At 34.0% G+C, this 13745-nt stretch overlaps 1 protein-coding gene across 7 annotated transcripts in view; it reads right to left on the reverse strand.

The window, feature by feature from the left end:
• The window catches only part of GPM6A (glycoprotein M6A), a 369457-nt gene that overhangs the window by 141736 nt on the left and 213976 nt on the right, over positions 1-13745 (reverse strand). The window contains exon 1 of one of the 7 annotated variants that reach the window (NM_001261448.2): positions 12664-12717. The exons of the other annotated variants lie outside the window; for them this stretch is intronic. Coding sequence (NP_001248377.1) covers positions 12664-12679 — 16 coding nt within the window. The 5' untranslated portion in view covers positions 12680-12717. Of the gene's footprint in view, positions 1-12663; positions 12718-13745 lie in introns of those variants that run through there. 7 annotated transcript variants of the gene reach the window in all.

Here is a 13745-nt window from a genome sequence, read left to right on the forward strand (position 1 = left end):
TCCTTGTCACAATTGAACAACAGAGCAAAGAATACATGTTAATGTCAACATTACATCATTAAACTACAATTAATCAGTTAAAAACTCAGTCATGGCTGTCTAATGAAGGACATTTTTCCTGGGAAAGCTTAACAAATCACTATAAAAACTTATGCAAAACAGTTATTTTCTATCTCTCAGTTCATAATACTGATGCTATATAAAAAAATTCTTAAACATTTTGTGTGTCCATTCATTGTTTTTAAAGAATTTCCATAAAATAATTTTTGTTTCTAAATAAACCAGACGATCCCAAAATTTTGACCAAAATATTAGTCAATATGGATGTACAATAATATCAGGATATAAGGTGAACAGATGTATGTAGTGCTAACATTTTTATTTTTAGCGTGTAAAGTCTACCATGGCTTAGAAGGTTCACAACCATATCAGTGTAAATTTAGGCAGAAATCTTTGGAAGTATTTAGAATTGCTCTAGAACACTGCAAGGCTATATAGAAGAAGCATCTCCAAAATGTTTGCAGTTGAGAGCAATATCTCCGTATCAAATAAACAATTTTAACCTAATAAAATTTCAGAAAATTAAAAAATCTAGACTCAGTCCGGTATAAAACACAGATCTGATGAAGATCCCAGATATTTTGTAGTGCTGAAAGACGCAAATGGGAAAGGACAAAGTGTTTTCTCTGTTTTGAAGATATAAAAAGAACGTTTCTATAGTGGTGTTTCTCCAAAGTCATGCCCAACAAAATGGATGTGAGGAATGTTGTTTAGCATATATATTCAGAATTTCACTAAAAACCCTAGATTTTTCCATTAACTCAAATGTTGTTTCATTCTGCTAATAATTTTTAATCCTTACCTATCCACTATTAGTTATTTTGCATTTCAAAATCAAGTAAAAAAAAATGGCAAATTTGATGGAGCAGAAGGGAAAAATGGCAGCTTCCTTCCAAATGCCTTGCTTTCATATTCCCTTAAAGGACTACCTATTAATTGTCAAAACCATTAAAAGGAAGAAATCAGGAAAATTTCTGGTGGTATAAACAAGTCCACAAATTAATATAAAGCAAGTCATATAAATATACTCCAAAAATAGTCTACTCTTTTCAGATAAGCCAATTAAATGTTTATTACAGCAGAGCCATTTTTCTCTACCACCTTGAATCAACATGCTGCGGAAATCCAAGTTATAATCTATAAATCAGCCCAATGGAATGAAAGCACAAAAGGGGAGGTTATATTTTATTCTGTGTTGACTAGAATATGAAACAGGAAACCTTGAGAAAAAAAATAAAAATTTCAAAAGACACTAAATTCTGGAAAACCTTCGATTATAAAAAGCCAAGGACACAATATACCTGACATCACTATTAATTTGTGGTGTGAGAATTTCCATAAAAATTGCAAGAACTTGAAACCAGATTTTTTTAAAGGGACAATAAAAGAGATAACACATCGATGAGCAAAGACTTTTTCAAAAAGAGATCTATGGCAAGACCCTTAATAAAACTTTCTTAGAGAAAAATTTCAATTCAATATTATACTGAGTCTATCCTAAATGTCTCCCATTTTTAACTGACTTACCCCCTGTGTTAAGTCAATTTATATGTAAATTCTATGGAAAATTAGGTTAATGTGCCTTTTTCATGTAACTGACAGTAAGAGCAAATGCATCTTGCCACTTGGCTTCCAAACAAAGGCCTGGCCACAACCTTGACGTGAGGAACGGAATCAGGAAGGAGGGACAGAAGCTCACACTGAAAGAGCAAACTGTGCTGATTCATGATGTCAAAACTCGAGCTGCTGCCAAAAAAGTCAGGTGTGCAAGGGATCTCTGAGCATATTTTAACTTGTTCAGTCTCTAATATATTCAACCATTGATCTTGGAAGCATGACAAGGGTTAGCAACAACGAAGAAGCTGCCCCGGGAAATCAGTTTCATGAACAGGCAAAGTAAGAATCCCTACTTAAATAATATTTAGTTTCATACGTTTTTCCTAGCGACGTTTTAATGTCCCTACTAAATGTTATTATTCAATTTCACACTTACACATTATTTATCGAACCCCCACCATGATTTTTGAAACACCCTGTTACACTTTAATATATACAAAGGAAGAGGTATATAAAATAAGTGGAGTTCCTGGGAACAAAGGGAAAATAAATTCATATACATTGAAATGACGAAACCAATAGTGAGGTAAGTCTCCAAATCTCATAGTGTCAAGGCCTACGTATGCAAATCAAAGTCCAACAGCAAGCCCTGTATAAAGAAAATACAATCTTTGCAAAAAGCAAAGAAACAAACATTTTATACACACATGGGTGTGTGCACGTATTTTAATAACAGACATTTATAAATTCCAAATTTAATTTTAGACCATTGAAATAATTATTAAGGATGCATGTGTAAAGGAAGATTGTAGTAGGGAAGATAGTAAATGCAAGATAGTGAGGTATACTGTTGTTATGCAAACGTACATAGGCTTTGGAGGAGAATAATTTGGTGTTTTGAATCCCAGTTCTGGCAATAACTAGCTATAGGACCATTGTGAGCAAGGTCCTGACATATTAACTAGAGATAATAAAGATCATAGGTTTTATTTACTGTCTTCATGAAAAATAGCACTCAGCCTTTCAGAACCTTGGCACACCTGTTTATTATTATCTATTTATTATTATTATAATACAGAGTAGACAGTAAAAAAATTACATATCTTAGTCCTTATCCTATTGTAAGGTACTCAACAAATGGTAGAATATTTTTAATATTAATTTATACTAAACATGCAGTTATCTCTTCATATAACATGTAATTGTGAGATAGAGAACATTCTCTTCTTTATTAACTTAGTAAAAAAAAGATAAAAATATTCTCTACAAGAGTCCACAAATGAATGTGTTATATCTACTTATAAGATATGGGATTAGCCTTTATATTTTATAATTAGTAATGCAGTTGATTTTTAACTAGAAAATATCAAAACACACCAAATCCTAAACATAATTAATTTACTAACAGGATATTAAATTAGCATAAATGAATTTGAGAAACTATAATTTTCAAACTTCTCTTCAATGTTATTAGAAATCAACAATGTGCCCAATATGTTATCTATAGGTTATGAAGACCATAGGAATTTATTCAATTGTAAAAAATAACTAATAAAAAATTTTTTTAATCCCTCAGATTATATGATAGGAATTATTTTTCTTTGATAACATTTACATATCAAACCATAAAGAACAGTTTGACATTTAAAGTAATGTTTTTAATTAGTCCACTTGCTATTCATAGAGCAGAAACTCTGCAAACTACTTTTTTAGAATTTATCACTCATTTATTTCACAGCATAATGGAGCACAGATTTGCATGTAATCTGCTTACCTTTCACCATTTCCCAACTCCGACTCTCTACAATGCTTATTAAAAAATACCAGAGTAGAACTTGAAGACCACTAGGTTGGGCCCACCAGAATTCTGTTTTCTTATGGGATTAATGTTTTCTGTGGGAAAAATTATCCTAAGGAAGGCTGAAGCATTTAGATTTAGGCTACAAATATTAGACTGATATTAATAGAGTTGGGTACTACTATTTAAAATTCAAGTTTGGTTTCTGTCACTGGCATTCATCTAATAGCCCAGGTCCATGATGACAAAGAAAACTCTGTAGGGGGCCTAGGTGCGGTGGCTCATGCCTCCCACTTTGGGAGGCTGAGGCAGGCAGATCACAAGGTCAAGAGATTGAAACCATCCTGGCCAACAAGGTGAAGCCCCGTCTCTACTAAAAATACAAAAATTAGCTGGGCGTGGTGGCGTGCACCTGTAGTCCCAGCTACTTGGGAGGCTGAGGCAGGAGAATCGCTTGAACCTGGGAGGTGGAGGTTGCAGTGAGGGGAGATCGCAGCACTGCACTCCAGCCTGGCAACAGAGCAAGACTCTGTATCCAACAAAAAAAAAAAAAAAAAAAAAAAGAAAAAGAAAAAGAAAACTCTGTAGGATAGAAGAAAACTCAAACAACATAGTTTTTTCCTTATTAAAGATGCCTCAAATTTTTCTACTGCCTATGACATAGATGACTATAATTACCTAATGACTTTATCTCCTTAATAACATGTATATCTACTAAATATATAAAATAACATTATTATATACAATAAAACATTACATATTATGTAATTGTAATATATGGATATATCAATAATATAATCACATATTGATAGCTTGTGAATTACTATATAATTATACATATAAGTATAATACATAAGTATATATATCAATTATACAGTTGGAATAAAATTTACTAATTTTTTACAAATTTATTGTATAACATTTGTTGGTAATTGAGGTAAAATATGTATTACAAAATGATATTCCAGAAAAAAAAGAATAATTGCTAGTAAGCTATCCAGTTCCCAGAAATGCTTATGGAAATGATGAGAGAGTGGCTCCATGCTTTCTTTATTCTGCCTCACCCACTCTTGTTCTTTATCTATCCTGTGAGCACTGCAGTTTCTCACCATAGTGCCTGTTTAAATCTCACCCTGCTTGATGCAATCGTTACCCATTTGATGTGGAAGTCTTTATGAATATCATCTGACCAATAAAAATATTTTAAAACTCTCATGCACGCCTAGAGCAATTTCCGTTTTGTTTCAGCTTTATAATGTATACTAGACATCCTCCTCAATCAACGCAGATTTACGTCATTCTTTTCCAAAGCACGTTATATTTCACAGAAGAACTTAGGCTATATTGTCAATATTGAATATTGAGTGTAATGAATAGCATTCATGTGGTTTCCAGTTCAGTAAGCGGGTTTCGTATGGGGCAACATGAACATGTGTTTGCCTTCTTGGTACTGTTCTACCACAGCTTTTCAGGTCTCATGGCTCTCAAGAATATGTTCTACTATCACCAAGCAAAATTAGGGACAGTCTGCTCCACGCATCCCTAGAGGCAAACACTGAAGGTCAGTTAACAAATTAAAAATAATAATAACAAAAAACTTTTCTATGAAGCACAATAAAAATTAACATATCTGCACTTAGTTTTTCCCTTTGGCAACAGATACACCCACCTGTTGGTAGCGTGATTGTTAGCTAAAAGGTTAGCACTACATATATCCTGAGTAAGGAAATATGAGGGTAAAATTTTAAAAGGAGATAAGAGAATAATAACTATAAGTTCAAAATTAATGTGCTTTATGAAAAGAATGACTTTGTCCAGAGAAGATAATACACATGTATTCATTTTGAAAAGGGTAATATAACTATAATAATTTACAGTAACTCGGAGGTAGCAGTATGCTCAGTGAAAAAAAAATAGTTTAAAGTCAGAAAAAATTAGTATTTTAATTCATGTGTTAACTTTTTTTTTTTTTTGAAATGGAGTCTTGCTCTGTTGCCCAGGCTGGAGTGAAGTGGCGTGGCGTGATCTCGGCTCACTGCAACCTCCGCCTCCCAGGTTCAAGGGATTCTCTTGCCTCAGCCTCCCAAGTAGCTGGGATTACATGTGCCTGCCCCCACGCCCAGCTGATTTTTGTATTTTTAGTACAGATGGGGTTTTTCCATATTGGCCAGGCTGGTCTGGAACTCCTGACCTCAGGTGATCCACCTGCCTCGGCCTCTCAAAGTGCTGGGATTACAGGCATGAGCCACTATGCCAGGCCCAGGCATCAACTTTTAATAAATCACTTGCATGAACTTCTGATTTCTTGCTCTGCAAAAGGAAGTGCATCTGTACAAGAGCACAGTTTTCTGTCTCTTCTGTTCATCCCAAGTGCTTGGCACAGAGTAGACACTCAATAAATATCTGTGGAATTCATGAACGGCTATCATGCAGTTATGGAGAGACTTAAATAGCATAACACAGTGCGTCACATTCAACACATGCATATTCAAACCTATATTTACCTATTTTATAGTTTTCGCTTAATGATTTCATGTGTCTCAATAACCATGTAACTTATTTTAAAATGTATCTTAATGTTTATGACAATTTGAATTTCCACTACACAAATTAGCCAGTGTTTTCTGAATAATACCTAAAATATCTGGACACTACAGTGCTTTAGAGAAGCAAGAAAACTAATTTAACAATCAGTCCCCAGTGTGTTCTCTATCTCCAAAATAAGTGAATTTGTGATCACCCATCTATAATAATATTATATTTTATTGGATGAATATAGAAACTTCCTAATGGTAGGATTAAGCCAAATCCTGAATTCTGTCTACTCAGATTAGTCAGGTTAAATGATAAAAGGTGTAGAAAAGATAAACTTGTGGTGGAGGAATTTAGGAGCCTTAGAAAGTATATGATCCATCAATTAGAAGGGCAAGGTATCAGGAGAGGCAGGAAATGAAATACATAGTTCATCACCAACAAGACCAAATAACTCAGAGATGAATAAAAGCAGCCTATAAATGCAGCAAAGGGCCTCAGGCACAGTAATAAAAAAAAAATAGAACAAAAAAGATAACGTTCACATTAATTTCTTTGGTTTTAATAACACGACTCAAACAACACCCACCGTGCGAAAATAAGATCATACAAGCACACAAATGCTTCTATCAGAGGCCCAAGCGGACTGAGGAATCCCAGGTGGTCTGTTTGGATGCCCTGAAGAAATGAAGGGAAGGGGGTGTCAGGGAGGGGCGCCCAGAGCTCTTCTGTTGTAGCATTGACCAAAAAAGAGGCAGCCAGAGAAGGAAACAGATTTCATGTATCATTAATGACATCCCTACTTCTGGATCTGAAATTCCCTCTCAACTTCAACCATGTCAAGCTTCCTAAAACCCCTTCCTTTTTGAACTTCTACTTCACAGCACCAAGTGATCTTCCATACAGTTCTCTGATACTTTTGCTCTTTTCCTTCCTTTGCCTTCTAACTATGGGCATTCACTTCATTCGGTCATTACCTCAATGCTTTCTTTTTGCCTCTGATTTCCTGCACTTGAAACCTTTAACTAGTGTCTCTATGCAGATTATTCACATTTTAAAAGTTCACAATCTTGATCATTCATTTGAGATTTATTTCACATTTCTAAAGGCTGTGGAACTTTGGGTGTGCTATATAACATGGCCATTGGGATGACTCTCCTGTGCCAATGTCCTGTGCAAATGTCCTGTCTAAAAGTTTACCTTTGAATGTATACTCATGAGACCTTCATTATAATATTCAGTTACCACAAATATTTCCTCCAGTATACATTTCTGGATCCCTTTTTAAAGCGTGGTTTTATAATATAACACATTTTCATAAAGATTCAAAGGTCATCTAGCACAGTGATCATGAGCAGAAAGGGTGAGTCCTAAAATATCTTGAAACCTCAGGTTTCTCAACCATAAAATGTAAAAATAATAATGGTGTCTATCTCATTGGATTCTTGCAAGACTGAATCATGGTAAGGCTCTGTAAGTGCTGGCTATAATAATCACAGCATTGTTATTATTATCAGTTTTCTGCTAAACTCTAAAAAGTTTAGGCTAAAATTTTCCCATTATCTAACCCCAATTTTATTTCACAGACCATTCTTCCATATACTCTAGGATAAACAAGGAGAATATCTCTGTGTTTCTCAACGATTTTTTTCCCTCACCCACCTAGGCTTTTGCTGGGGCTATTTTTCATTATGGAATATCACGTCATCTACTTTCACCCTTCAAAATCTTAATCATCCTTGAAGGTTCCTACAAAAAAGTCACCCTTATGCAGAATCTCTCTAAAATCTCAACTGAAAGAATACAAAGGAAATTATACCCAGCCCTGTAAGGTAAAGGTGCTATGTCATGTCTTCCTCCCCTTACATATCTCTAATATGTTTTTCAAAGATGGAAATAATACTTTGTTCATCATTGTTTTCTTGATGGTCCTTTTTAATACAATGCGGCAAATTAATAAAACTCAAATGCAGCTATACTCTCCAGTTTATGTCAGTTTATTACATCCGATTAACTAGTAGAAACACAAGTCATGGAAATTACAGATAAGTTGTTACTACCTTATACATTTAAACTACTTACATTCCATAAGTAGTATAAATTACCTTATTTATTGGACATAGCTTAAGAAATAGAACTTATTAATAAATAAATGTCAAAATTAAGTAGTGAAAATAATTATTCTCATTTCTTTCTTTAATACACGATGTTACCGTTTGAACTACTAAAATACTCTTTATATACCATCATTTTAAAATAAATATTTAAGATTTTGTTGTCAATACACTGAGTAAAATTAACACAGACATGGTAATATCCATATCTGTACTAGAAATCTGAAAAAAAATTTATTGTTGTAAGTTATTAGCAATGATGGAGCAAAACTCATAAAGTAATGCTATTAAATTATTTTCAAAATGTTCTAGTTTAATGACAGTTTATTTAATTTGCTTGTGACCTTGTTTTATTTATCAAAATGAGAAATGTTTTGAATTAACTTTTTTAAAAAAGTAATTTAAAAAATTTTTTGCCTTTGTCATAATAGTAAGGATTCTAAACATAAACATAAATTATTAAATAATCAGGCACTGCCTTGTCACCCTATTTTCATCTACATAAGAAACTTAACTCTAATAGAATTTGTTTCCTATTAAGTCACATTAATTTTGCCAATAATTTTTTTAAAAATAATGGATAAAGGAATAGAACAATTGTGAATTATTCATGATGTTATATTTTTCTCCATTTTCATCAGAAATTCTTTTAATCCTTTTGACTTCAATATTTCATAAATTAAATTAGTGAGGAAATTCAGTATTTGTGGAATACCAAGTTAAATAATATGAAAGGAGCTTAACATACAACTTAAAACAATGCAAAATTTTCAAAGCATAATATTAAAGCCTATTATTTATTTGTGCCAAATTATATGCTTTGATATAATTAAATAAAATGAATGCATACTTTGATTCAATTCCTTAAGGCAGAGCTAGTAAATGGAATAAATGAATTGTCTCATTTAAATGTTTTATACTTTAATTGGGAAATGGATTGTATTTGAATTTATATAGATTGATAAGAATTATTGGCAATATTTTATGGATTTCAATTTTGTCACATTATATCACAATATTTACAGACAAAAAAATAGAAAAATAAATTTTGCAACAAAAACTTCAAATCAGAGGAGAAAAATAAAGACTCAAATTCATTTTATGAGAATCATTCTATTTGCATAGCCTCAGAGTATCTCTCTGAAATATCTACCAATTACAATGGTAGTATTAACATATGTCCACAAATTTTTTGATATCCCTTCTTCTAGGAAGTGGAGCTTATCACCTCTCTTTAAAAGTATAGTATAGACAGAATGTCTCACTTTTTTAACATACATAGTTTGAAACGGGAAAAATAGTAACTTCAAAGTGAAGTAACCTAGTAGAAAACACCTTAGCCAAGTGATCAATATTAATATTCCCAGTAATAAATAAGGTGGATAATATGTGCTTCTGGATATGAAGTGATGAGAGAGGCACATCACTTTTGTCCTAGTCTTCCCCCAAATCTATAATCCCATTCTAATCATGAGAGAATATCAGACAAACACAAAATGAGGGCAATTCTACAAAATACATGACTAGTATTCTTCAAAAGTGTCAGGTCATGTAAAACAAAGAAATATGGAAACACTGTCACAGCTTGTAGGAAACTAACGCAACAATAGTTTCTTGGATTGTATCCTAGAACATTAAGTGACATTAGCAGATAATTAGTAGGTAACATTAGCAAATCCAAGTAAAGTCTGTAGTTAATTGGAGATTATTATATCTATGTTAATGTATTAATTTTGATTAATGTATGATGGTTATGTAAACATTCAGAGGAAGCTGGTTTAAGTGTATAATCCAAGTTTCTGTACTATCTTTGCAATGCTTTTGTAAATGTAAAATTATTTCAAAATTAAACAATTGAAGGAGAAATTCATCTCATGAGTAAATAAAATAATGAATGTGAATTATAATGAACTCGTCAAAAACAAATTATGATGATTATAGTCAATATCATCATTAGCATCATGACCTCTAAATATGCTAAGTGTGTGTGTGTATGTGTGTGTGTGTGTTTGTGTAATCATATATGAGAATGAACAGTATTGCTAGAGGCTGAGGCAATACTTGGTTGTGATTAAAGACACAAACTCTTGGGAGCAAATTCTCTAAGTACTAGTACTGGCCATTGCACTTATCCACTATCAAATTAAGTTAATAGCCTCTGTATAAATCAATTGCCTCAATCCTAGTAAGAAAAGTAATAGTACCTACATTTGGTAATAGTCAAAGATCTCAATTCATCCCCTTTCTGTATGTGCATGCTGCCTATTACATGGAAACATAGAATCTAATTCCCCCTCCTTGAAGCTGGGCTAGCTTGAGTGACTTGGCTTTGCAAGTACAATGTAACAGAAGTGAATTTCTCCCATTTCCGAAGCTAGATCATAAGAAACCTTGCGACTGTTGCCTTAATCTCTAAGATCACTTGCTCTGGGGATGTCCCCTGACCAAGTCCAATCGCCATGCTATGAAAAGTTCAAATTCCACGCAGAGGCCACACCTGGGAATTCTGGCGCGGAGTCTCAGCTAAGCTCACAGCCATCACCCAGCATCAATTGAGCCCTCTTAGACATTCCAGCCCAATCAAGCTCTGAGGAGACTGCAGATGTCCCAGCATCTTGCAGCCAGCATCACATAGAACAGAAGAATGAATCAGACAACCCACATAACTGTGAAAAATAATAAATTAATGTCTTAAGCTACTAACTTTGTGGTATTTTGTTATGCATCATGCCTCCTACAGCTGTTGGGAGAATAGAATTAGTAACCACATTATATTAACATTAACTATTGTTATAGTTATTATTCTCATCTCCTCTAAATCACCCTTAACAGTTACCCAAACTGATTATTCTTTTAAACCCTTTCCCCTCTTAGGCAGAACTAAAGAAGAAACCCCTTTTTTAGCATTTGCATTCATACTACTCATATGTTGTCAACAGATTTCACATAGATCATTAGAATAATTCTACTAAAAGACATATGCCAGAAAATAATCTAGGGTTTGAAAAATAGATGCAGATAAATCAGCACTGTATATAAAGACAAATAAGATTACTCCCCTCATAACTGGGATTAATTCAACAGCTAGTTACAGAACACGTGCCACAAGCCAATCACCATGGCTGGGCAAGGCGGATTCAATGAGGAACAAGATGGAAATGGTTCTTTCCTTGTGTAGTTTGCAGACTCAGTCCAATCAGAAAGACAGATAATTACAGAAGCAATTATAATAGAGTGCCATAAACACTTCGATAGAGAAAAAAGAAAAAAAAATATGAGAGAGCATCGCATAAACCTATAGTTTCCAAGCTGTGACCCAAGGCATCTCACAGAGTGGCAGCAAACTCACAGGATATTGCTGGATATTTTAAACTTTCAACAGAAAACACAGTGACATCCATTAACTTAAAAGTGCTAGGTGTTTCTTTTGACTTGGAGACACCATGAGGAGAAATTACTGGGACACTACAAACACCATGAATTGAGAATGTTTAAAATCTCAGGTAGAGACACTTACAAATAACACCATCTTTTTTGAAGGTCAGGAAAGGTTTTTTGTTTTGTTTTTTTTTTTTTGAAAAATGAATAGCAGTATTCAGTTGGCAGGTAGCATTTGATCCAAATTACCCTTCTTCTCTCCCTTTTCCTGACTCTCCTCCCTCCAATTACATCAATTTGGGCATCTACAAAGCTCCCGTGCTGAACCTTTGCCCTCTCTACTTATTTCAGTCCCTCACTTCTGATTGTCTATTTTCATCCCCATATGGTGTCTTAATGTCACTTCAAACTCAAAATGTCTAAAATAAGACATTTTTTCCTTTACCCAGCACCTTCTCCTGCCATTCCTGTTTCTCTATTCTCTTTATCACTCAAGCACATGAAAGCAGCTTGAGTCTAGACGTTCCCTTCTCCCTCAGAACTAATATGATATGTGTGCCTTATCAGTTCTTCTTGTCCATGTTCCCTTGAGTCAGTTGCACCCTTTCATTCTATGGCTTTTCCCTTGGTCTGGCCTCTATCATCATCCACCTCCAGTCTCACTCTCTAATCCATTCTGCACAAAACCTCCAGACTAATTTCACCACAATTCTTTCTCCAACAGAAGTGTAAAACCGAGCACACACAAAATGAGACTTACCCAAACTTTCTTTCTTTGAGTTCGAGGAACAAGGCTAAACTTTATTCTTTAAAGAGAAAGAAAAATATCTGTGGTCTTCTTTGAAAGTGTTTATTAACCTTTCCAGCCACTTGCTGGACGGCATTCCCTCCCCCAATTGACCTCCCTCTGTGAATTTTCCTTTAGCCTATAATCTCGGTGTTTGTTTGTTTTCCTTTGTTTTTCTATTTCTCCCTCTGTTCTTTTTTTTGTTGTTGTTTTTGTTTTTTACCCTTGATACATATGACTGTTCAAATCCTTATGAAAGATCAAACAACACAAAAAACTAGCATCCTTTTCATTGGATGTGACATGCCAATTAATAAAATTCATCTTAAAGCTTTAATAATGTATTTAATGAGGCATGCACTACAGAGATAAAGCAGAAATGATTTCCTCAATAGTTTCACTGATAATACTCCCACCAAAGTCACCCTTGACCTTACCTTCCAGGTCTGTCATAAAAGTGTGATGCTGCCGGCCGCTGGCTCCTTGTGAACTCTATTTTCCCTTGATTCAAGGGCATAAGCTCTCTCCTGTGACAATTTAACATTCTGTTTCGTGTTCTGAGATTTTTTCTAAATTGTTTTTTTAAGTCACTATTTTTGGTCCTTTTTGTTCCACCTTTAGGTTGATTTCATCAGTATCAACATCACCAATGATTACATACTTGTTGATGATTTACAAGTACAGATTTCTAATTCAGCTTTTTTCCCCAAATCACAACCCATGTATCTAATTGCTTTACTGACATAACTCTTCCTAGTCAGACAAATTTAATATATGCAAGACATAATTTTCTTTGAAAAATCTGTTCCTTTTGCTCTCACTTCTGAAACAAGAATATTCACAAGCAATATAAAGCACCATTTTAAAATGACAGCTTTACCTTACAGAATATAGGCTCCATGAAGGCTGGTTTTGGCTTGTTAGCTTGTTTTTAATTGCTATCTTCCCAGCAATTTGACTACAGCTGGCCCACACTGGGTGCTTGTTATATATTTATTAAATGTTGAATGAATGAACAAATCAATCTCATGAAGACGAAAAAAGTCATACATATATACTTTGAAGTTTTAAGTTATGAAAATTACACTTTTCCATTGTTTCATCTTTTCTTCCCCATTTTTTCCATCTACACTCTTCTCATCCTTTATTTCAGATTTGATTTTGCTAGCACCTCGCTTCTCCACCTCACCCTGCTCCTCCAGCCTCTTTTTGTCCCTTTGTGGATATTCATTAATATGTGTTAGTCTAGTCAAGGCAAATGGAAAGGGGAGAGAGAGGATGTGTCTGAATAGGGAAGAGCAAGACAGAGAAGAGACCAAACAACAGAAAGGAAAAGGAGAAACGTCTGAAAATAGATTTAAAGAATAAACAAAGGAGGATGAAAGCAAAGATTTTTAACTGATATGTCAAGAAAAACAAAAGGAACAGTAAGAGATACATGTATTTTCAATCCTGAAATCAAGGAAAACAGTCAGTTGTTTCTCAAAGAAATTTCTTTAAATTGGCAAGGTATATTCAG

This window comes from Homo sapiens, chromosome 4, assembly GCF_000001405.40.
Source record: "Homo sapiens chromosome 4, GRCh38.p14 Primary Assembly".
NCBI lineage: Eukaryota > Metazoa > Chordata > Mammalia > Primates > Hominidae > Homo > Homo sapiens.